We start from the raw sequence: 24175 nt of genomic DNA, 5'->3' as shown, positions 1-24175 counted from the left end.
ACCAGCCTTGCATCACAGGGATGAAGCCAACTTGATCATGGTGGATAAGCTTTTTGATGTGCTGCTGGATTTGGTTTGCCAGAATTTTATTGAGGATTTTTGCATTGATGTTCATCAGGGATATTGGTCTAAAATTCTCTTTTTTGGTTGTGTCTCTGCCAGGCTTTGGTATCAGGATGATGCTGGCCTCATAAAATGAGTTAGGGAGGATTCCCTCTTTTTCTATTGATTGGAATAGTTTCAGAAGGAATGGTACCAGCTCCTCCTTGTACTTCTGGTAGAATTCAGCTGTGAATCCATCTGGTCCTGGACTTTTTTTGGTTGGTAGGCTATTAATTATTGCCTCAATTTCAGAGCCTGTTATTGGTCTATTCAGAGATTCAACTTCTTCCTGGTTTAGTCTTGGGAGGGTGTATATATCAAGGAATTTATCCATTTCTTCTAGATTTTCTAGTTTATTTGCTTAGAGGTGTTTATAGTATTCTCTGATGGTAGTTTGTATTTCTGTGGGATCGGTGGTGATATCCCCTTTATCATTTTTTATTGCATCTATTTGATGCTTCTCTCTTTTCTTTATTAATCTTGCTAGCAGTCTATCAATTTTGTTGATCTTTTCAAAAAACCAGCTCCTGGATTCATTGATTTTTTTGAAGGGTTTTTTGTGTTTCTATTTCCTTCAGTTCTGCTCTGATCTTAGTTATTTCTTGCCTTCTGCTAGCTTTTGAATGTGTTTGCTCTTGCTTCTCTAGTTCTTTTAATTGTGATGTGAGGGTGTCAATTTTAGATCTTTCCTGCTTTCTCTTGTGGGCATTTAGTGCTATAAATTTCCCTCTACATACTGCTTTGAATGTGTCCCAGAGATTCTGGTATGTTGTGTCTTTGTTCTCATTGGTTTCAAAGAACATCTTTATTTCTGCCTTCATTTCGTTATGTACCCAGTAGTCATTCAGGAGCAGGTTGTTCAGTTTCCATATAGTTAGCAGTTTTGAGTGAGTTTCTTAATCCTGAGTTCTAGTTTGATTGCACTGTGGTCTGAGAGACAGTTTGTTATAATTTCTGTTCTTTTACATTTGCTGAGGAGTGCTTCACTTCCAACTATGTGGTCAGTTTTGGGTGTGGTGTGGTGCTGAAAAGAATGTATATTCTGTTGATTTGGGGTGGAGAGTTCGGTAGATGTCTATTAGGTCTGCTTGGTGCAGAGCTGAGTTCAATTCCTGGATATCCTTGTTAACTTTCTGTCTCATTGATCTGTCTAATGTTGACAGTGGGTTGTTAAAGTCTCCCATTATTATTGTATGGGAGTCTAAGTCTCTTTGTAGGTCTCTAAGGACTTGCTTTATGAATCTGGGTGTTCCTGTATTGGGTGCATATATATTTAGGATAGTTAGCTCTTCTTGTTGAATTGAACCCTTTACCACTATGTAATGGCCTTCTTTGTCTCTTTTGATCTTTGTTGGTTTAAAGTCTGTTTTATCAGAGACTAGGATTGCAACCCCTGCCTTTTTTTGTTCTCCATTTGCTTGGTAGGTCTTCCTCCATCCCTTTATTTTGAGCCTATGTGTGTCTCTGCACGTGAGATGGGTTTCCTGAATACAGCACACTGATAGGTCTTGACTCTTTATCCAATTTGCCAGTCTGTGTCTTTTAAGTGGGGTATTTAGCCCATTTACATTTAAGGTTAATATTGTTATGTGTGAATTTGATCCTGTCATTATGATGTTAGCTGGTTATTTTGCCCATTAGTTGATGCAGTTTCTTCCTAGCATCAATGGTATTTACAATTTGGCATGTTTTTGCAGTGGCTGGTACCAGTTGTTCCTTTGCATGTTGAGCTCTTCCTTCAGGAGCTCTTTTAGGGCAGGCCTGGTGGTGACAAAATCTCTCAGCATTTGCTTATCTGTAAAGGATTTTATTTCTCCTTCACTTATGAAGCTTAGTTTGGCTGGATATGAAATTCTAGGTTGAAAATTCTTTTCTTTAAGAATTTTGAATATTGGCCCCCACTCTCTTCTGGCTTGTAGAGTTTCTGCCAAGAGATCTGCTGTTAGCCTGATGGGCTTCCCTTTGTGGGTAACCCGACCTTTCTCTCTGGCTGCCCTTAACAATTTTTCCTTCATTTCAACTTTGGTGAATCTGACAATTATGTGTGTTGCAGTTGCTCTTCTCGAGGAGTATCTTTGTGGCATTCTCTGTATTTCCTGAATTTGAATGTTGGCCTGCCTTGCTAGATTGGGGAAGTTCACCTGGATAATACCCTGCAGAGTGTTTTCCAACTTGGTTCCATTCTCCCCGTCACTTTCAGGTACACCAATCAGACGTAGATTTGGTCTTTTCACATAGTCCCATATTTCTTGGATGCTTTGTCCATTTCTTTTTATTCTTTTTTTCTCTAAACTTCTCTTTTCGCTTCATTTCATTCATTTGATCTTCCATCACGGACACCCTTTCTTCCAGTTGATCGAATTGGCTACTGAGGCTTGTGCATTCGTCACGTTCTCGTGCCTTGGTTTTCAGCTCCATCAGGTTCTTTAAGGACTTCTCTGCATTGGTTATTCTAGTTAGCCATTCGTCTAATTTGTTTTCAAGGTTTTTAACTTCTTTGCCATGGGTTCGGACTTCCTCCTTTAGCTCGGAGTAGTTTGATTGTCTGAAGCCTTCTTCTCTCAACTCGTCAAAGTCATTCTCCATCCAGCTTTGTTCCGTTGCTGGTGAGGAGCTGTGTTCCTTTGGAGGAGGAGAGGTGCTCTGATTTTTAGAGTTTCCAGTTTTTCTCCTGTTTTTTCCCCATCTTTGTGGTTTTATCTACCTTTGGTCTTTGATGATGGTGACGTACAGATGGGGTTTTGGTGTGGATGTCCTTTCTGTTTGTTAGTTTTCCTTCTACAAGTCAGGACGCTCAGCTGCAGGTCTGTTGGAGTTTGCTGGAGGTCCACTCCAGACCCTGTTTGCCTGGGTATCAGCAGCGGAGGCTGCAGAACAGAGGATATTGGTGAACAGCAAATGTTGCTGCCTGATCGTTCCTCTGGAAGTTTTGTCTCAGATGAGTACCTGGCCGTGTGAGCTGTCAGTCTGCCCCTACTAGGGGGTGACTCCGGGGTCAGGGACCCACTTGAGGAGGCAGTCTGTCCATTCTCAGATCTCAAGCTGCGTGCTGGGAGAACCACTACTCTCTTCAAAGCTGTCAGACAGGGACATTTAAGTCTGCAGAGGATTCTGCTGCCTTTTGTTTGGCTGTGCCCTGCCCCCAGAAGTGGAGTCTACAGAGGCAGGCAGGCACCCCTAGGTGGAGTAGGTGGAGTCTACAGAGGCAAGCCTCAGCAATGGTGGGTGCCCCTCCCCCAGCCTCGCTGCCACCTTGCAGTTTGATCTCAGACTGCTGTGCTAGCAATGAGCAAGGCTCCGTGGGCATAGGACCCTCTGAGCCAGACGTGGGATATAATCTCCTGGTGTGCCATTTGCTAAGACCATTGGAAAAGCACAGTATTAGGGTGGGAGTGACCCGATTTTCCAGGTGCCGTCTGTCACCCCTTTCTTTGACTAGGAAAGGGAATTCCCTGACCCATTGCGCTTCCCGGGTGACGCGATGCCTTGCCCTGCTTTGGCTCAGGCTCAGTGTGCTGCACCTACTGTCCTGCACCCACTCTCCGACACTCCCCAGAGAGAGGAACCCGGTACCTCAGTTGGAAATGCAGAAATCACCCGTCTTCTACGTCACTCATGCTGGGAGCTGTAGACTGGAGCTATTCCTATTCGGCCATCTTGGCTCCACCTCCCTCACCTTTACTTATTCTATTTATTGCTTACTTATTCTGTTTTTACAATTTATAAAACTAGTTTTGGAGCTGAATTTTGGGGAATGGCCTTTAATATCATGAGAATATCAAGACCATCCATTGCATTTTTTTGTTTTTTAAGCATCTTTTCCATATATACTTTGCATGCCATAAACTTTGCCCTTTTAAAATGCATAATTTAATGGTTTCAGTGTATTCCCAGAGTGAAATCATCACAATAATCTATTTATTATTTGAAAATCACAGTATTCTGGGAAAACAGTGTCAGCCTTCAGGGACCCCTACATGGGAAGCTGTGATGTGCTAGCAGCAAGGCTTGTTCTGATCGGCCATATTCACTGATAAGGTTTTGTATTTTAAATTTTGTTTTGTTTTGTCCCACTTTGCTAAAATCTCCAGAACATTCCCAAATCTTACTTTACTCTCCATATACTATTATTATTTTAGAGACATGGTCTTCCTGTGTCACTCAGGCTGGAGTGGCAGATTGCAGTGGTGCAATCAGAGCTCACTGCAACCTTGAACTCCTAGGCGCAAGGAGTAGCATGGACTACATGCCTGTAGTAGCCAAGCTACTCCCTGGACTACCTCAACCTCTTGAGTAGCTTGGACTACAGGCGTGCGCCACTATGCCTAGCTAATTTTTTTTTTTAATTTTTCGTAGAGATGGGGTCTTCCTGTGCTGCCCAGGCTTGTCTCAAACTCCTAGACTCAAGTGATCCTCCTGCCACAGCCTCTCAAAGAGCTGGCATTACAGGCGTGAACCACCACACCCAGCCATCCTATACAAAAATAGTTTATTTGACATAAAATTTGGTTTTTATTCTCCCATGAGGGGATTAATCTTAAACAGGCAAATTTCCCATTGGGGTATGAGAACAGAAAAATTCAGGGTACAATACAGATAATTTCCCTGGTTATATAGACTATTTTGCCCACTACAGAATAGTTGGGGGTACCCAACAGGGTACCACCACCCCCATGAATGGAAATAAGGGAAAATCTTGAATTCCTTCAAGAGAAATTCCAGGCATCTAGCTAGCCTTGAGAAGTAATGAGCAACTTCACAGGCAACAAGGTAATAGTGGATTAAAACAATAGCCAGAAAAAGTTAGAGTCACAGGATGTATGGTTCCCTATAGAAACTGAAGATAACATTTTAACATATGTCCCTGGGTAGTTTTTCAGGAAATCTAGATCCCTACCAAATGGATCCACCGGCACAGAGACCTCCGGTAAGAGGGAACTGAGGCTGAACTCTGACTGCCTTTCTTTGTCCTACATTTCTTCCTGAGGCACCTGGAGGAGATCACGCCCAAGGGCCAGATCTAACATTCTTTTCTGCTGACTCCAAGTCTTTAGGCAAAACTTCCCTCTCTTAACCAATTGCAAATCAGAAAATATTTGAATCTACCTATGGTCTGTAAGCCCCCACTTCAAGATATTCCACCTTTTCAGGTCAAACCAGTGCGTAGCCTCCAGTATTAATTTGTGACTTTGCCTGTAACTTCTATCTCCCTGTCTTTAAAAATCCTTACATGTAACACATCTGGGAGTTCAGGTCTTAAGCATGAGCTGTTTGATTCTCCTTGCTTGGTGCTCTGCAATAAATGCCTCACTGTCTCTGGCTGCAAATCCTAATGTCAGTGTTTAGCTTTGCTGTGCCAAGTAAGTGGACGCAAGTTCAGTAACATTACCCATTAACTTAGAGAAAGTTTTTTTGCTTGTTGGTTTGGTTTGTGGGTTTTTTGTTTTTTGTTTTTTTTGGCTAACTAAACTTTCAGGATATTAAAAAATGTTAAGATTAAATTCTACTTACAGAGGTGGGCAGGTCCTTTCACTGTAATTCTCACACTTCGACTTCCCAAAGGAACAGCAATTACATTTTCTTCTCCTGGGAAAGAACAGAACGCAACTGCAATAAAACCAGTACACTAAAGGCCCATGAAAATGAGCAAGTCAATCAAAACTGGGGGCGTCTGCAAAATATTCTTAACTATATTTCATTTCTGTAATCCTAGCACTTCAGGAGGCCAAGGCAGGCAGATCACTTGAGGTCAGGAGTTCGAGACCAGCCTGGCCAAGATGGTGAAACCCCATCTCTACTAAAAATACAAAAATTAACCAGGTGTGATGGCGTGTGCCTGTAGTCCCAGCTACCCGGGAGGCTGAGGCAGGAGAATTGCTGGAACCCAGGAGATGGAGTCTGCAGTGAGCTGAGAACGTGCCACTGGACTCCAGCCTGGGCAACAGAGTAAGACTCTATCTCAAGAAAAAAATAAATAAATCTTTGGAAATCACAAACTATGTGTAAAGCAGATGAATATTACATAATTTCATTTAAATACACCCTTAAATAACATTAAAGAAACGTTTAAAGTAAATGCACTGCCTACCTCAATTACCTTTACTCTCATGGCCCAATCCATGTGCTTTGATGAGGGTCTGCAAACTGTGGCCCCTGGGCCAAATCTAGCCACATCTCTTCATTCATTTAAGGCTGTTTATGCTCTTCAAGGTAGAATTGAGTTGTAGTAATGAAGACCATATGGCTCAATAAGGCTAAAATATTTACTTTACTATCTGACTTTTCACAGAAAAATTTCATGATCCTTGGCCTAGACAATTACCTACTGGAAATCCTGGTCCTCAGAGATGTTTTTTCACACTGCTACATACACTGATAATTTAATTTCTGTGTTCACATAATAATCTAAGCTCATATATGATATTTTATCTCACTAGTCCCCTCTCTGAAGATTGTCTGTTTCTAAATGAAACTAGAACATTATCAATGATACGAATTACTTCAAGCAGATGTTTTTGTCTAACTTACGCAAAACAATTTTTTTTGGATAAACTCTCCAGAGTGAAATTAGTGAAGCAAAGGATATCAATATATTGATTGACTAGTTTGCAAGTTTTTATTAAATAGAAATACCTGTTTATTATTAAAAATTAGAAAATGTAGATAAACAAAAATACAAAATAAATCTTTTTCTAACCCTATTGCCCAGAGATAATCACTTCTAACACTTTGATGAATGTCCATTCCAGATTTTTTGTTTGTTTAACATGTATACATGTAAAAGGAAAGACTGAACCGTACCTAAATGTCCATCAATATGGGAAAGATTACATAAACAAGAACATCCATACTCAGGAATACTCTACAACTGATAAAAGTAATGATAAGAAGCTATATGACCTAACGTGGAAAGCCTGCCAATATACACATTGAAGACTTTAAAAAAGGAAGGTTAAAAAATAGGGCAGTGGTATCTTGGATATGACACTAAAAGCACAGGAAACACATGAAAAAAAACTAAATTTGACCAAATCAAAATCAAACCTTTGTGCACAAAAGGACACTATGAACAGAATGAAGAGGCAACCCACGGAATGGGGGAAAACATTTGCAAATCACATCTTGGAAAGGGGTTATTATCTAGCATATATAAAGAATACTTGTAACTCAACAACAACAAAAAACAACCTATTCAATAAAAAGGACAAAAGGACTTGGATTTCTCCAAAACAGCTATACAAATGGCCAATAAGCACATGAAAATGCTCAGTATCAATAATTATTAGGGAATTGAAAATCAAAACCACAATCAGGTACCACTTCACACCTATTAGGATGAGAATTACACACAAAAAAAATAACAAAACAAGCAGAAAATAACAAGTATTGGTGAGGATGTGGCGAAAAGAACCCTTGTGAACTGGTGGTGAAAATGTTAAATGGTACAACTACCATGGAAAATAGTATGGCAAGTCCTCAAGATATTAAACATAGAATTACCATATGATCCAGCAATTCCACCTCTAGGAATATACCCAAAAGAATTGAAAGCAGGGACACAAACAGACATTGGTACATTGATGATCATGGCAGCATTATTCCCAATAGACGAAAGGAAGAAACAACCTAAGTATCTGTCTATGGATGAATGGATAAGGCTGTTTTTGCTCTACAAAGGCAGAATTGAGTCATGGTAGTGAAGATCATACAGCTCAATAAACCTAAAATATTTACTGTGCTATCTGGGCTTTCACAGAAAAAATTCGTGATCCTTGGCCTAGACAATTACCTACTGGAAATCATGGTTCTCACAGATGTTTTTTGGTATATACCTACAATGGATTCTTATTTAGCTTTTTTTAAAAAAAAGGAGGGGGCCAGGCATGGTGGCTCCCATCTATAGTCTTAGCAGTTTGGGAGGCCAAGGCAAGAGGATGGCTTGAGCCCAGGAGTTCGAGACCAGTCGGGGCAACATAGGGAAACCTGGTCACTACCAAAAAATTTTATAATTTTTTTTTAATGTGGGTATGGTGGTGTGTGCCTGTAATCCCAGCTACTTGGGAGTCTGGGGTGGGAGGATCACTTGAGCCCAGGAGGTTGAGGCTGCAGTGAACTATGATCAACCCATTGCACTCCAGCCTGGGTAACACAGTGAGAGCTTGTCTCAGGGGGAAAAAAAAAAAAAAGGAAAGGAAAGGAAATGATGCATACTACAGCATCAGTCATTTTAAGGAGGCTAGCAAACAGCTCATCGTTTTTGAAAACTGGTAAGTAAAGAAAAGATTAATGCATTCATCATGCTTTGTTGTTTTTCTTTTGTTTTGTTTTGTTTTTGTTTTTTGAGACAGGGTCTCACTCTGTCACCCAGGCTGGAGTGCAGTGGCCTGATCTAGGCTCACTGCAGCCTCTACCTCCTGGGCTCAAGCAATCCTCCCAACTCAGCCTCCTGAGTAGCTGGGGCCACAGTTGCATGCCAGCATGCCTGGCTAATTTTTGAATTTTTTGTAGAGACTAATTTGAACAAACAAGCAAAAGTGATAAAGACTTCTGAAAAATCCTCTCCTCCATAAAATCAGTAAAAACATGGTCAGAACCAACATTTTTAAAACTCTGGAAATTAACCAAAGGCTTGCAACAATCTGAGCAGTAATTATCAAAGAAAAATGCTCAGTAAGAACAGTGAGCTTTGTGGCATGCTAAGCTGCCTATTTCCATCTCTCCCCATTCTCCACCTCCATGGTAACCTTGAAAACAACAGCCCGTAATCATAGTGCAAACCAGCAGCCTGGCAGACTTTGCAGGGGTAGAATGGGTTTGGAGCTCCTTCAATGCCCAATTCCCAATTATTATTTGACCTGTGTAGTGGTTCCCTGGAAGACTTCACTCACAAAGCTGTCTTTGGTTTATCTAACTGGGAGTTTGCCCAGTGTAAACAGCTTTTCCCCAGGAGGCATTTGTCCAAAACAATCAGAGATACTTATATAACATTGAGGCTGCATGAGGTGGTGGATAACAATTGGGGAAAACAATAAGCTAACCAAAAAGCTGGGAATGAGATGTCCACAGGTGGTTTTGAAAAACTCCAACATATTCCTGAAAATCTAGAAGACCGCATGTCTATGTGGGGCTCTGCGTATGCCAGAGCTTTGTGCATGCCCAGAAACAACCTGAGAAGGTCCTAAGCTGTCATCTATGGCTAACCTACAGACTCTAAGGAAGCAGGAAGTAAAGGCCAGAACAAAGTTGTCAATTACCTTGGCTGAGTGTTGAAGGTGTAACCCAACATAGACACATATGCACACACACACAGACACACACACACACAAAGTCCACTAAAAATAACCAACTCTCCATGAAAAACCAGGTAATGCCAGGTCTGGAGTAGGGAAAATTCAAGGTGGGCTTGGAACACCTGTTGCTCTAGAAACCAAGGCAATGTCTAAAATTCAATGGAATTATGACAAAAGAAGACAGTTTAAAGTGCTCCCACTGGCTACATTTTGGACAATTTGAAACCCAAAAAGAATATTGTCAGTAACATATAAAACATTAAATAAATAAAAATCTCTGAATACAGAGTGAGAAATTAAGAAACAGAAACCTTTTTTTAAAAACAGAAGAATGAGTGAAGAAGGAATGATAGAATTAGAAAATAACCGTTTGCAACTCTCTGTGTTAAATACTGTTTCAGGCAAGGATCATCAATGTACACTAAAGCCATTGTGTGAAAGACTGTTGCAAGCCAGAATATTTACACGTTGTCAAGGCATCACTCTGCAGATTTCTTACAGGGAAACATGGATCTATACAACACAGTATGTGTAGTTCACCACCTGTGTGAGTAATACTGGATCAAGCTGACATCATCAACTTCCTGATATGATGCAACATAAATCACGCATCACTTTTGATGTGCTGCTGCCACAAATGTTCAATCCAATTCTAATTAAACCTAAGACCTTGCTGATCAATTCACAGGAATTACGTGAGGGAGATCAACAAATTAATCAAATTAACAAATTTTGTCTGGATTAGACAAATCCAGAATATGGGACATGCTAAAATACAACTGGAATGAACTCTTTACAAAGTCGATACCATGAAAAAATAAGTGCACTAAAAAAAAAGAAACTAAAGAGATAGAAAAACTAAATGCAATGAGTGAGCCTTGACCAGTTCAAGGGGAAAAACAACTATAAAAGGAGAAATTTTAACATAGATTGGATATTAGATAATATTTAGAAATTATAATTTTTTAGGTGTACTAGTGAGATGATGTTATGAAGAAGATCCTTATTTTTAGAAGAGTCATGCTAAAGTATTAATACTTAGAAGTAAGTGTTGTGATGTCTGTAAATTAACAAGGGTCAGCTAGCTAGTTGGATGGAGGAATTAGATAGATAGATAGATAGATAGATAGATAGATAGATAGATAGATAGATAGAGATAGAGTGATAGGGATAATGAACCAATGTAGCAAAATATAAGTAATTAGTGAATCTAGTTGAAAAAATGTACAGTAGTGAATTGTGTTATTTTATCAACTTTTATGTATGCTTGAAAATTTTACACAGTACAATTTTGGAGATAAAACTACATTCCAATGTCATTAACATCTATTTGATACCAAATTCCTAAGTAAAATATTTGAAAAGAAAATTTAATCATAAATTTGAATTATGCACTATATACAAATGAAGTTTACCCAACAAATGCTAGTGTTGCTCAAATTTAGGAAACCTACTAATGTAATTTACTATATTAATAGACAAAGTAGAAAAGTTTGATTACCTCAAATAAGTTTCCAGCATTTAGTAAAATTCAGTCATTATTCCTGATAAAAATTCTGTATATAAAATAAAGTAAATGTTTGTAACACCATTTATAAATGCAAGTCATGATTAATATGCTTAATGCTTAAACATTAGAAACACTGCTGTTTAATTGGGGAAATGATGGGATACCAGTCAGCACCGTATGACTGAAGAGTTTTTAAAAGATTAGCCAAGGTAATTAGGCAAGAAAAAAATAGTCTAAACATTGGAAATCAAGAAGAAATTAATATTAAAAAATTATTAGATTTTAGAAATACCAAGAATAATCATTTAGAAAAATAATGGAAGAAAATGCCCCATTTGCAATGGCTAGAGAAAAGATAGAATATGTTGGAATGAACTTTTAAAAAATGGGCACAACCGGCTGCGCATGGTGGCTCATGCCTGTAATCCTAGCACTTTGGGAAGCTAAGGCGGGAGGATCACCTGAGGTCAGGAGTTCAAGACCAGCCTGGCCAACATGGCGAAACCCCATTTCTACTAAAAAACACAAAATTTAGCTGGGCGTGGTGGGTGCCTGTAATCCCAGCTACTCAGGAGGCTGAGGCTGGAGAATCACTTGAACCCAGGAGGCAGAGGTTGCAGTGAGCCAAGATCACGCCACTGCATTCCAGCCTGGGCGACAGAGTGAGACTCCATTTCCAGCCCCCCAAAAATGGACACAACCTACAAAAACAACATTTAAATCTCTCTCTCTCAAGATATAAAAAAATGCCTTGAGAAAATCGAAGGAAAATATTAATCATTTGAAATAAAAATTAAGCAAAATTAAATGTCAAAGAAGGAAAAATTATAATTATAGGCAAAGACTGTTTTCTTAATATCCAGAGTGTTTACAAATCAGTAAGAAAAAAACACAAATTAGCAGGAGAATTGATCAGACACTTGAAAAACTAGTTCACAGAAAAATCAAAATGTCAAGAAGATTATGAAGAGAGAAGAGAAATTACAGTATCTTTGAGAACTAAAAGCACATAAAGACATGCTTGCACAAAAGTACAAAGTTGTTGTAACACTGAGAGAAAATCTAAATGCTCATTGATATGAGTCTGGTTAAATAAATTATGTAATGTCCTTTTATATCACCAGTTAAAAAACAAGCCAACTGGGTGCAGTGGCTCACGCCTGTAATCCCAGCACTTTAAGAGGCTGAGGCGGGTGGATCACTTGAGGTCAGGAGTTCAAGACCAGCCTGGCCAACATGGTGAAACCCTGTCTCTACTAAAAAATACAAAAATTATCCAGGCATGGTGGCTGGCACCTACAATCCCAGCTACTCAGGAGGTTGAGGCATGAGAATTGCTTGAACCCAGGAGGCGGGGGTCATAGTGAGCCGAGACCATACCACTGAACACCAGCCTGGGCGACAGAGCAAGACTCCATCTCAAAAACAAAAAAAACAAGCCAAATTATGAGAACTGATAGGCAAAAAAACCTCAGTGAATAAAAAGAAATTGTAAAAAAGTTTATACCTAATGATCAATTCTGTATACTTCTCAAAAGCATACATGTTTGTATGGAAAGGTGCACACATACACATCCATAGGAAATATCTTAATAGAAGCAACCATTCATCCTGTTTAGACCTCTAAAAAGTGGAACTGGTTAGGAGTTTGTGGATGGTAGAGGGTGACATTTACTTTCCATTTTATATCCTTCTGTGCCATTTGAAGTTTTTGTAAGTTTAAAAAACTTTTTAAGTTTTATAAAAAGTATGTATTAATTTTACAATATAAATTATCAATATATGTTATGCATCCTCAACCACTTCACCTCATCCCCGGAAGGATACACACTAATATGATAACACATGTAATCTCTTGGCAGTGTGATTGAATACATGACATGTTTGTCAATTTCCTTGCCTGGATATTCTGGATTTTTTTTACAACACATATACAGCATATTATATATGTAATAAAAATTGTTTTGAAAATACATATAAATTAGAAAGCTTTACTGAACTGAAGAAAACCTATTTGGGCATATTGGTTGGGCTCTCTTGCAAAATCTTTGTGAATGTAGGCTGTGGTATCTTGGGGAAGCATTTGTCTAGGGGTGTGTGTGCATATATGTGTATATTCCAACCATTGTCCCATTGATAATTACACACTTTAATGAAACCCTGCAAATCAAATCCCTTGCAGTTGATTTTAGCCAAAAAGCCTCAAACTTGAGGAAAATGTTCTTCTGGGTGGAGCTGCCTACTATATAACTCTTGGAGAGAAAGCACACTGCCGAGCACCCAGGCAAAGCTAAGAACAAGGAGCAGCCTATAAGGATCATCTCCTAAACTGGAATTCCCTTTCATTTCTGTAACCCTCCACTAAAGTTTCATACATTTGTAGAAGTCTCTGTGATACGCTGATAAGGCAGTACTTCCCAAACATTTTACCTAAATATGAATCATCTAGAAAACTTGTTAAAACACAGACACCTGCTCCACCCATAGAAATTCAGATCCAGCAGTTTAGGGTGGAGCCCAAGAATGTGCCCGACCAGCAGCAGCCTCCCAGGTGATGCTGATACTGCTAGACTGTGAGCCACATTTTGAGCAGCACGGGCGCAGGATATAGAGAGGGAGAACTCAAGTCATAAAGGGCAGAAAGGGAGGACTGGTCCACAGTCACAAACTTTTCAGCATTTCTTCACTGTCCTGCAAGAGACGGCCCAGTTCTAGGTCTGACCAGAAATGAAGTGAGAATCCTGTGAGGCAGAGGATTTTAAGGAGGCAGGAGCCAGGAGTACCAAGTGCTCTGCAGATGAGGGCTTAAAAGTGCCTTTTGGATGAGCAGTAAAGAGACTGTTAATGTGCTTTGCCAAAGCAGTTTCAATCAAGTAGCTGGCACAGGAAGCTGTGATCTGAGGAATACATTGATGATGAAAAATTAGAGACAGCAAATGTAAACAGTTTTTTCAAGACTTGGCGATAAAGAGTAGGTGAAAAATTAGGGTCGTAGCTGGAGACGTGATTAAAAGAGTGTTCTATATATATATATAATTTAAAAATATTTTTATATATAAATATTATACACCCATATACATACACATATATAAACATACACATATATATACACATATGTATATACACACATATGTATATACATGTATATACATAGACATTTTTAAAATTATACTTTTATTTAAGATGGGAAGAGACCCGCTGGTCATATTAACCCTGATAGGAAAGAGACAGTGAAAGAAGATAAAGGAAAGAGAGGGGATGATGGGTGGAGTGAGTTCTCTGAGGACACAGAGGAGCTGGAATGCAGAACACAGATGGAGGGATTAATTAGTCTTGGAAAGGAAGACAGACATTTGTGCCTCCGTAGCGGGAGGAAGCAGGGAATGGATGGGTGCAGCTGCAGGGCGAGGTCTCTTCTGATGGTTTCTGTTTTACTTGGATTTTTTTTTTCTAATCTTCCTTGGAGCGTTGCATAGAATCAGTTTTTGTATTATGGTGCATAAATGTTTGAAAAGAAGGTATATTTCCTCACCATGCAATGTTCTGTTACCTATTAATGTAACATTAGTAATTATATTGCACAGATTCTTTATGTAATTTTCACTCACTTCAATGTATTAAAGTCTCTCAGAAGTTTTACTGATTTCAATTTCATCTTATATAACTACAGGGGATTTTTCTTTACATATTTTGATGTAATGGCATTTGGTTCACAAATTCTTCAAACTATTTGTTTTTTGATTATCAACAAAGTACTCATTTTGTATTTTTGCTTGAAATTCTACTTGCACTGATACAAAGACTATTACCCACGCTTTCTTTATCTTACCCTTCAGAATGGGCCATTCATAAATTGCAGACAAATGGCCTCCTGGTAAAGGACCCCCTTGGCCTGGAGGTAGACCTGGAGCTGGAGGCGATGATAAAGAGAGGAAGCAATTGTAAGTACAGTAAGAAAGAGCAGACTGCTGCTTGTGGTTCAGCACAAGCTCAGTATAGACTGCCTGAAACCTCCTATCAGAAGAATGCAGATGGCATTGCCAAGCAGGTCTGATTCTAAGCCTGCTTTGAAATCCTATATTTTCTATTGGTCTATAAGCCAATTATTGAAAACACAGCGGACGGTGGCTGGGCGTGGTGGCTCATGCCTGTAATCCCAGGACTTTGGGAGGTTAAGGTAGGAGATCACTTGAGGTTAGCAGTTTGAGATCAGCCTGGGCAACATAGTGAGACCTTGTCTCAACAAAAAATTTAAAAATTAGCCAGGTGTGGTGGTACATGCCTGTAGTGCCAGCTACTTAAGAGGCTGAGGCAGGAGGATTCCTTGAACCCAGAAGGTCGAGGCTGCAGTGAGCCAGGATTATGCTATTGCATTCAGCCTAGGCGACCGTGTCTAATTTAAAAAAGAAAACATATAAGATGGAGAGAAAAGGCTTCCTCTCCATCCCATCTTATGGTGTCGCTAACAGTAGGCTCATGTCTGGGACACCTAGATTTGTTGTTGATGGTGGTAACTGGTTCCTGTTGATCACATTCATTGTCTGGAATTATTCCAAAACTGTCTTATTGAAATTTGGTGGTAAGAGATTCTTGATAATCTCTTGGAATAGGAATACCTGTTCCAAGGGGTTGTTATGAGTGTTCAATGAGGTAATATATGCAAAGGGCTTAGAAAAGAACCTGGTGCCAATTAGGCGTTGGGTAAGTATAAGTTATTATTAAAACCATGTTGAGCACTTACTCTGCCACCAGGCAACATGCTAAGAAACTTGAGATAAGTTACCTCATTCATTCTAATGAAAACTCATTTCTATAATTAAGACAATTAAAATTTTATAAGGTTAAAGTGACTTGCCCAAGATCACGGTGCTCCTAAGCATTAGAACCAGGGTAAGGACCCAAAACTACACTTTTAAATCCTTCTACTATGAGACCAAGTGATGCTGTATAAACTCAAATTCACTCATCACACAGAGTTTCATTTTATGGGTTTCACTTGTTTGATTTTGCAATCACTGGACTGACCTAAGATTCACTGACTTTCCCTCCCACACATAAATGCTCAAGTCCAGCTGTTCCATCATATTTTTTCTATGTCTCATTTCCTGCTGGATATCACAGCTTTGCTAAGTAGCAAGATGTACAGGAAATAAATTGTCCACACAATATTAACTAATCAATAAACATCAGTTTCAGCCCAGAAGCACTGTAATTTATATCAGATCATTTATTTTCACTATAAAGTTCAACCGGAACTACATCAACCTAAATATATACATTCCAAGGTAAAACAAGGAAAAGGATGTCTTAGTGACTCTCACTTTGACAACCTCATCCCCACTTTCTATTTTTGTTTTGTTTATTTTTTTATTTTTTTGGTGTGTGTTTTTTTAGTTGGTTGGGTTTTTTTTTCTGAACAAAATTTTCTGTCGAGTATTTTTCATGTTACATTTATAGAACCTGCATTTATTTTCTCCTTCTGCTATTTAGATTCAAACACACACACACACCATTCCCAAGGCATAAAGTAGTTTTTTTAAAAAATAAGAAAACTTTTTAAATACATGCTAATGCTAATAATTTGAACCCTATAGAAAATTGCAAAAAAAAAATAGGTTTTATTTTTAAGGAATGCATTTTTTAAAATGAGATAATGTTGTGACAACATTTTGTAAACTGAAAAAAAAAAAAGTGTTTGTTAATTCCCTCACACACCCATAACTATTTGTCATCACTTAGACTAAAAAGAGTTACCGAGGCAGGGCATGGTGGCTCACACCTGTAATCCCAGCACTTTGGGAGGCTGATGCAAGTGGATCACCTGAAGTCAGGAGTTCAAGACCAGCCTGACCAACATGGTGAAACTCCATCTCTACTAAAAATACAAAATTAGCCGGGCATGGTGGCACGTGACTGTAATCCCAGCTATTCAGGAGGCTGAGGCAGGAGAATCACTTGAACCCAGGAGGTAGAGGCTGCAGTGAACTGAGATTGCACCATTGCACTCCAGCCTGGGCAACAAAAGCAAAACTCCATCTCAAAAAAAAAAAAAAAAAGTTACCTGGCATGGTATTGTACAGAACAGGGTCTGCACAATTTTTCAAAAGTAGGATAGTAAGGTTTGCTTCAAGCTCATCTGTCATTCTGTAGGAGCAGTGGGGGATTTTGGAAGGCGAAAAAAGGAAAAGTCAATGGGTAGCAACACTGATTCTGCAGCTGGAGGACTGTCTATACACTACTTTGCAAATGGGGGTGAGAAAAATGCAGTATGCCAGTAAGCAAAAGTAGAAAAAGCAAATGTAGGAAATTAACAGCAAATTTTTTACAAAAGAAGGAAGGAACACAGCAGAGCTTTGCCTTGTTGAGAACAATCGGCTGCAAACTGAAAACTGACCAGCATGCCTTGAGCTGTTAGGCCACATTACTAAAGTCTCTGATTGCTCAATCTGCAAATGAGTATCTTCAGCCCTTAGCTCCTATGCAGAAACATCTGCTCCCAACCTGACGTATGTTTATTTACTGGCCTAAACTGCCTTTACCTCAAAAGACCATGGTAACAGGCAGACTGACCAATAATGTATGCCTCTGTGCTTATTGGCAGGGCTAGCTTTGGAACAGCATGCAGGAGATGGGACTATGTCACACAGCATCTAATAACAAATATCTGTCCAGATGTTCTCGAGCATCATAGTGTAACTCTCATTTTCTGCCCTTTATAATACTGCCTCTAAGAAATCAGGAGGCTGGTGAGGATAAAACAGTCATCTGCCTTCTGACTCTGTAGTGGGGCATCAGACACTGAAAAGCAGAGGCGTTAACCAAAGGCATGCACCAGTGGCCACCTGGGAAGTTTGGCAACCTGCAATTGCCCAGATTTACCCCTCAAAATTCTAGGGTGGGGCCTGAGGATTAGAACATGGGACAAGTTCCCCAAGTGCTCCTGATGTGCACCCTGGGTTAGGAACCATGGAGCTGGCTGGGCTCTGCCAAGGGGAAACAAGGGGTGGGTTGGCTGAGGCAGCCTTTGCTCCCCTCTGACTCCATTTCTGTGCTATCTTTGTTCCCTGTCCCACCACTCTAAGCCTCGGTGCACCTCTCGCCTCATGCTCATCTCGCCGTCCTTGGAAGACACTTTGGGAGGGTGGTTAAGCACATGAACTCTGAGGTCAGAACCATCTTGACCACTCACCAGTTGTGAGACCTTGACCAAGGTGCTTAATTTCACTGAGCCTATTTCTCCATTTGTTAAATGGGGAGGGTATAGTAGTACCTACCTTGCAGGGTTATGTTAAGAATAAATAATGTCACACATAACAAATACATAGCACAGTGTAAGCATACAAACCCTGGGGGCCATTATTATTACTATTATTTTCCCAATAAGTATTTTTACTAATAATCCCAGTGCTCTCAGCTGGTCAGCAGGTGTCAGGTCTCCTGGGTGACCACGGGTGTTGCAGTGCTTGGCTACTAATAAGCTGCTTCTGATTTTAATTCACATTCCTCAAGGACTGCTTCCATAGGGATGCTGGTCTAAGTGGGCTCTTCAATTCTGTGTAGGTCAAGTCGACACACCTTTACTGGAAACATACTGGGTGCCAGGTACTGGGCCAGGTGCATGAGGTTCTTGAGGAGCTCACATACCAATGAGGGGGTCAGTGCAAAAACTAAACCTCCCTCTTGCAGGTTGTGACAATAACATGTTAAAAGGCAACCAAGTAGCAGTTCATGGGAGATAAGAGGAAACCTCACACCAACTCATTCTTGTGGTGTATCTAAAATTTCCTGGGCCCTTTAAGAATAAAGACAAGCCATCACTGTCAAGCCCTTTATTAAAAGTTTGGAAAATTGCTTCATATAAGTTCCTGGGACTTCTTTCTCTAAACTCCATTCAATCCTAAGATCTATTTTTTTTTAACAATGAACAAATTACACACACTTAATAGATTTTCAGAGCTAGAAGATTTCTTATAAATTGTCCATGCTCACTGTGCAGATGAAAAAGTTGAGGTCGCAGTAAGTGAAGCATCTTGCCTAAGAAGATAGATTGTCAGAGGCCAAACTGAGGTTATTACCCCAGTCTTTGGCTTCCAGTCCAGTTCTATTGCACAATATCATTTAGTCCCACTGAAATCATAACAGGAAGCAGAATCATCTCCAGCGAAGGCCATGTATTCATTTGTTCAACATTAACTGAGCTCCTAGGATGTGTTCAGTACTGCACTAGCACTAGGAATAAAATGGTGGACATCATAGACATGGTGCCTGCTCTTGCAAAGCTTACTAGTGGGAGAGGCAAACTAGACAAATAAATGAAATAACCACTTCTTTCCCTAAAGGCTAAGCAAGAACTAAACAGAAAAGAGAAGGGCCTACTTTACGTAGAGTGGTCAAAGAAAGCCTCTCTGAGGAGGCGACACTTGTGCTCAACGTTGAGAAAGAGGTAACTACGTTGAAGAGCAGGGAGACACATGGTCCAGGTTCAGGGATGGGTCGGTGCAAAGGCCCATCGGGGGAATGGGCACCTGACATTCTGGAATCTCCCAGAAAGCCAGTGTAACTGGGGATTAGGGAATGAGGAGCAGATGGCAGCACATGATGTAACACAGGGGCCAGATGATACAGGCTTTAAAGGCTTTGGAGAGGGACGCGGATTTCATCATAGGTGTAAGGTGATTCATGAAGAGGCCAGGGAGTTCACAGTCTGTCTGCTTCTCCATGTAAAATACAATCTATGACATTCCTTTGCAACACAGTCTACATGCTATTTTTCCATTATCTCTCTTCATGCACAGGGCCAGAAGACAAACAAAACCATGCAAAAGAGCTAGGCAAGGACTAGAACCCAGGAGTCTTTATTTCTAGTCACAGAGTCTTCCTTCCAGGCCACACTCTCCCTTGCTGAATTAAATGGAGGAGGGTGAAACTTTTAATTCCATTAAAAGGAACAGGGTCTTTGGTTTGAATATTCCTTTCTCAATCGCAGTTCTGATAGAAGAGTATGACCAGCCAGAATCTCACCCTAGAAAGACGAATGTGGAGGTAGAAAGAGATGATGTGGGAAGACAGGAGAATGAAAACCAATTCATGTTACCATGTTAGCAGACCCTTTATATCCTACACAATCTTCCTTGCTATGGAATAAGTTAAATTTGTAAATGGTTTTTGGGAGTGACAGTCAAAGGAGAAATGAACAGTGGATGAAGGGAAAAAATCTTAAGAATTACACTGTGAGGCAGCCCCATGATCCACCTAGCCCAGGATTCTATTTGTGTCAAGGAATGCATTAGAAGAGTGTGTGTTTATCTTCATACTGCCAAAACTTGAGCAAAATGCTGGTGTTCCCAGTTGGCCTTAGGTATCACTGTATCAATAGGCTTGGCTGCCACCATGTAAAAATGGACAAAAAGCTTAGAATAGACAAGCCGATCTTGTTTATTTGCCTCACACACGTGTGCCCTGATGTGGACAAGACCAAAATAAGGAACAAACCTGGAAATACAACTAAGTTTCTAAATGCCAAGTCAAGACTCTCTAAACAGATATGTTTGTTGTTGTTTTTACAGCTTTCTCTCTTTAATACCTGAGTGGCCTCTAGTTTCCTTTTCCAACATCCAAAGCTGTTTATGTTGGTTGTCAGTTCCGTCTCTCTCCTCCTCCCTCTGAACAGGAAATCTGTATGTTGTATCTGGATAAATTTCTGATATTTTTCATAGCAAAGGTTTTGGCTCCAGGCTCTTACACCTTGTGTCTGCCTCACTGCGTGATGGAAATGATATTCTGTGTGCAGCCTTGTGCACATTCTCCAGTGCAGGGCTGTGCCAACAGCATCTCGTTGCCATGTCCTGACTCAGGGTGAGTCCCAGGGAAGATTGGAATGAATTCTTGGCAAGGTGTGGATGTAGGAGCTGCGTAGATTCTGCAGGCTCCAGTGATGCACACTCAGGGGGAGACATGGCTTCATTTCCTACATTTCTTTCACACAAAGCATGATTATAGGGAAGTGCTTCCATATGGCCTAGGGAAAAAATCCCAGCCAAAAACAGCTTCAGCTGGTCAGTTTCAGAGCTGTAACAAACATGATGGGGCCATAATTAGAATCAAGATGGTGAAGGACTGTGTTTTCACGCAGGCAGGAATCTTTGCTACCTTTAGCCTTAGCTCAAGCGCATGCATACGGAACCTGATAACATGCCAGCATCCTGTGGGATGTTCCTGGCTTATACCATGTCACTCATGCCCTGCACTGAAGGATCTGTGCCCTCCAGTTCCCCTTTCTACGTAGAAATTGATTTTTTTTAAAAAAAAGGACATTTTAGGGGTTCTTAACCTGGAATGTCCTAAACAGGCATCAGGGGTCTGAGAACCCCACAAAAAAATCAGAATGGCAAATGTGGGGCTTATAAATACACATGCATTTTCCTGGAAAGAAAATGCATAACTTTTAATAGATTCTCAAAAGCATATGTAATCCAAAAGCTGAAAATCAAGAGACAGAGAGAGAGAGAATAATGAACTACCTTGCATTTCAGTACCTCTTCTGCACACTTCTCCAAATAAGACTGCCCTTTGGCACAATTTCATCTGGCATTTACCCTGGTTCAATTAGAATTATCTCAAGTTCTAATCTTTCTTGGACCCTGACAAAACGAGGTATTTTCTGATGAGATTTCCAAACTTTCTAAGGCCAACACTAACTCTACGTACTTCCATTACACCGGGATCTGGCTATTGTCTTTCTCCCTTACTCCCCTCATCCACATGCCTTCCTGGATGAACACTTCTCAGTATAGCCTCTCTTCAAACTGTGTTCACTGATCTGAGTCCTAAAACTTTGGTTTGTCCTACAATCACTCTGTTTTCACACTTTCAACGTTTTCCTCCATACCAAGCAGTAGCTCTCTTAAAATCAATCCCCAGACGGACTGATTGTTGATTTTCAAATATGTTTACAAATACCCACATTTACACTTAAAGTATGTAAGAGGTATTGAAAGGGGCAAAGTTCCCTTATCCCCCTCTCAGGGCATGCAACAGGAGGAGTGGCTTGCTTCTTCCGTGCCCAGCAGCTCAAGCCCCTAGGGGGAGCATGCAGACGGGCAGGTTATGGGGAGCTTGGGGCTCCAACCCCAAGGCAGCGTCTAGAGTTGAATGTTTACAGCTCCCAAAGTTCCAGCATGTGTTACAGTGTGCTCTTTCAGCTTAGCTGTCCGCAGGTGGCTTCTGTTAATCAGCTCAGTTAGAACCTCTGCCTTTTCTCAAGGACAGAGGGCTTTCGGTATCGCAGCGCTTTCTGTATCCCTTGCCACTCCATCCCCCTTCTGCCTCCTCATCCATCTGCTGAGAGCTACCTCCACCATTCAATAAACCTTTGCACTCATTCTCCAAGCCCATGTGTGATCCATTTTTTCCAGTACCATGGGCTTGGAGAATGAGTGCAAGGTTTTATTGAATGGTAGAGGTAGCTCTCAGTAGATGGATGGGAAGGCAGAAGGGGGATGGGGAGGCAGAAGGGGGATGGAGTGGGAAGGTGGTCTTCCCCTGGAGTCGGGTCGCTTAGCAGCTAGGATCTCGTCCGTCCGCCCTCGGCCAAATTTCCCCCTGAGTCTCTGTCGTTCCACTGTCAATGGCCTGTCGGCGTCTGTGTGTTCTTCTGCCAGTGTGTTCCTCTCAACATCCAGTCACTTGTGTGTGTGACTGCTAGGGTCTTGGGGTTTTTATAGACACAGAATGGGGGGCATGGCAGGCCAGAGTGGCCTTGGAAAATGCAACATTTGGGTGTGAGGACAGGGACTCTGTTTTCAGAGTCCCTGTCCTCACCCAGGCCAGTGGGCACAGGCCCAAGGGCGGAGCCCTAGCCAGGAACCCCGCCCTTCAATTTCCTGCCCCCCCTCCCGTATCAGTGTGACATCCTTTAGTATCCCAATGGGTAATATTTTTAACAAAAATGCAGCTAGCATTTACTGAGTACTCTCTAGTTACTACGCTATTTGGAGTTCTCAACATGGATTGATCTTTTAAATCCTGATAACAGCTCTACAAAGGCAGTACTGTTGTTATTCCCAGTTTAAAATTAGAGATCCAAGATACCCATGGAAGTGAAATAACTTAAATAACTCTGCACAGCTCATAAGCAACAGACCCAGGACTTAACCCTGGAAGGCTGGCGGCTCCGGACCCCAATTTCTTAACCACTTCCCAATATTTCCTTTCATAATTAATTATGGGAGATGTTTCTTAACATTTCTCATCCTTAGTTTCCTCATCTGTAAAATAGGCAGGACATTATCCAAATTATAATGTAAGAATGCTGGTAGAATTAAATGATAAGTCTGAAGAGAACTTTGGGAATTATAAAGCATTTGATCAATATTAGTAATAGCAGAATGGATAGAATGCTAACTACTTGGTTTCCTGCCTCCTTGGAAGCCAGGGTGTCACACACCATAATTCTGGTCAATGAAGCAAAATTCCCTGGGGAGAATATCCTTTCCTGGATAAAGAACACAGTATTTAAAAAAACGCTTTTCACACTATGTTCTTCCTTATTATCTGGGATGTGGATGTAACATCTCAATGTCCAATAATGACTTTGCAGCCAAGTAGGCAAAAGCCATCCTCTAAGGATGTGAAGAAGAGAGAAAGGTGCCTGGTTCCTGAAAGACACAGTAAAACAGCATCCCCAGCCTTAGCTGCCTACTCCAGGCTTTTTGTTAGAAAAGACTTATAAACTCCAATGTTTCTAAGTTGAGTTTTCTGTGATTTCCAGTAGGATACATTCCTCATTGGTATACCACCATTCAAAGCCACCTCCTTCATGAAGTCCAAAAATTGGAACCTCCATGAATTCATGGTTTCCCATCTCAGCTAGGCCCTTACAGCTACTCCTCTATCTTTGTACTGTTGTTGATGGTTCCTTCTTCTTTCCTTCATGGGAACAGGCTCAAGTCTCTGAGCCCTCACTCCTACTGGCCAACTCTATCTCCTAATGAAGAGTCAAATAAAGACAATAGGCTGGAACACCTCACGGTGTTCTCCAACCAACCCTGTAGAGCTATCCAGTTGTTGACACGGTGTTGGTCTGTTCCCCTCCTCTTGTCCTGAGCAAATCCTTCCCTCTATACATTCTCTTCACTTATCAATCCATTGCAATGAAGCTTTGATTTCAGCCTGAAGTTCATCAAAATCACTCTTGTTCACATCACAAATGACCTTCAAATTGCCAAAGACAAACTTTTGGGCCCTTATTCCAGTTGAACTCATAAAAGCATTT

General features: G+C 40.6%; 1 protein-coding gene across 12 annotated transcripts in view; it reads right to left on the bottom strand.

Moving 5' to 3' along the window:
- Window positions 1–24175, bottom strand: part of ADAMTSL3 (ADAMTS like 3) — a 385720-nt gene that overhangs the window by 175389 nt on the left and 186156 nt on the right. For 6 of the 12 annotated variants that reach the window (XM_011521823.3, XM_017022434.2, XM_011521822.3 and 3 more), the window contains exons 8-9: window positions 14732–14812; window positions 5614–5688 (exon numbers count right to left, since the gene is read on the bottom strand). In XM_011521823.3, the coding sequence (XP_011520125.1) occupies window positions 5614–5688; window positions 14732–14812 (156 nt within the window). The remainder of the gene's footprint in view (window positions 1–5613; window positions 5689–14731; window positions 14813–24175) is intronic. The other 6 variants (XM_047432886.1, NM_001301110.2, NM_207517.3 and 3 more) reach the window with 1 other exon arrangement.

Source organism: Homo sapiens, chromosome 15 (genome assembly GCF_000001405.40).
Source record: "Homo sapiens chromosome 15, GRCh38.p14 Primary Assembly".
In the NCBI taxonomy this organism is placed as follows: domain Eukaryota; kingdom Metazoa; phylum Chordata; class Mammalia; order Primates; family Hominidae; genus Homo; species Homo sapiens.
The sequence above is the reverse complement of the archived record's forward strand: the minus strand, read 5'-3'. Positions and strand labels throughout refer to the sequence as shown.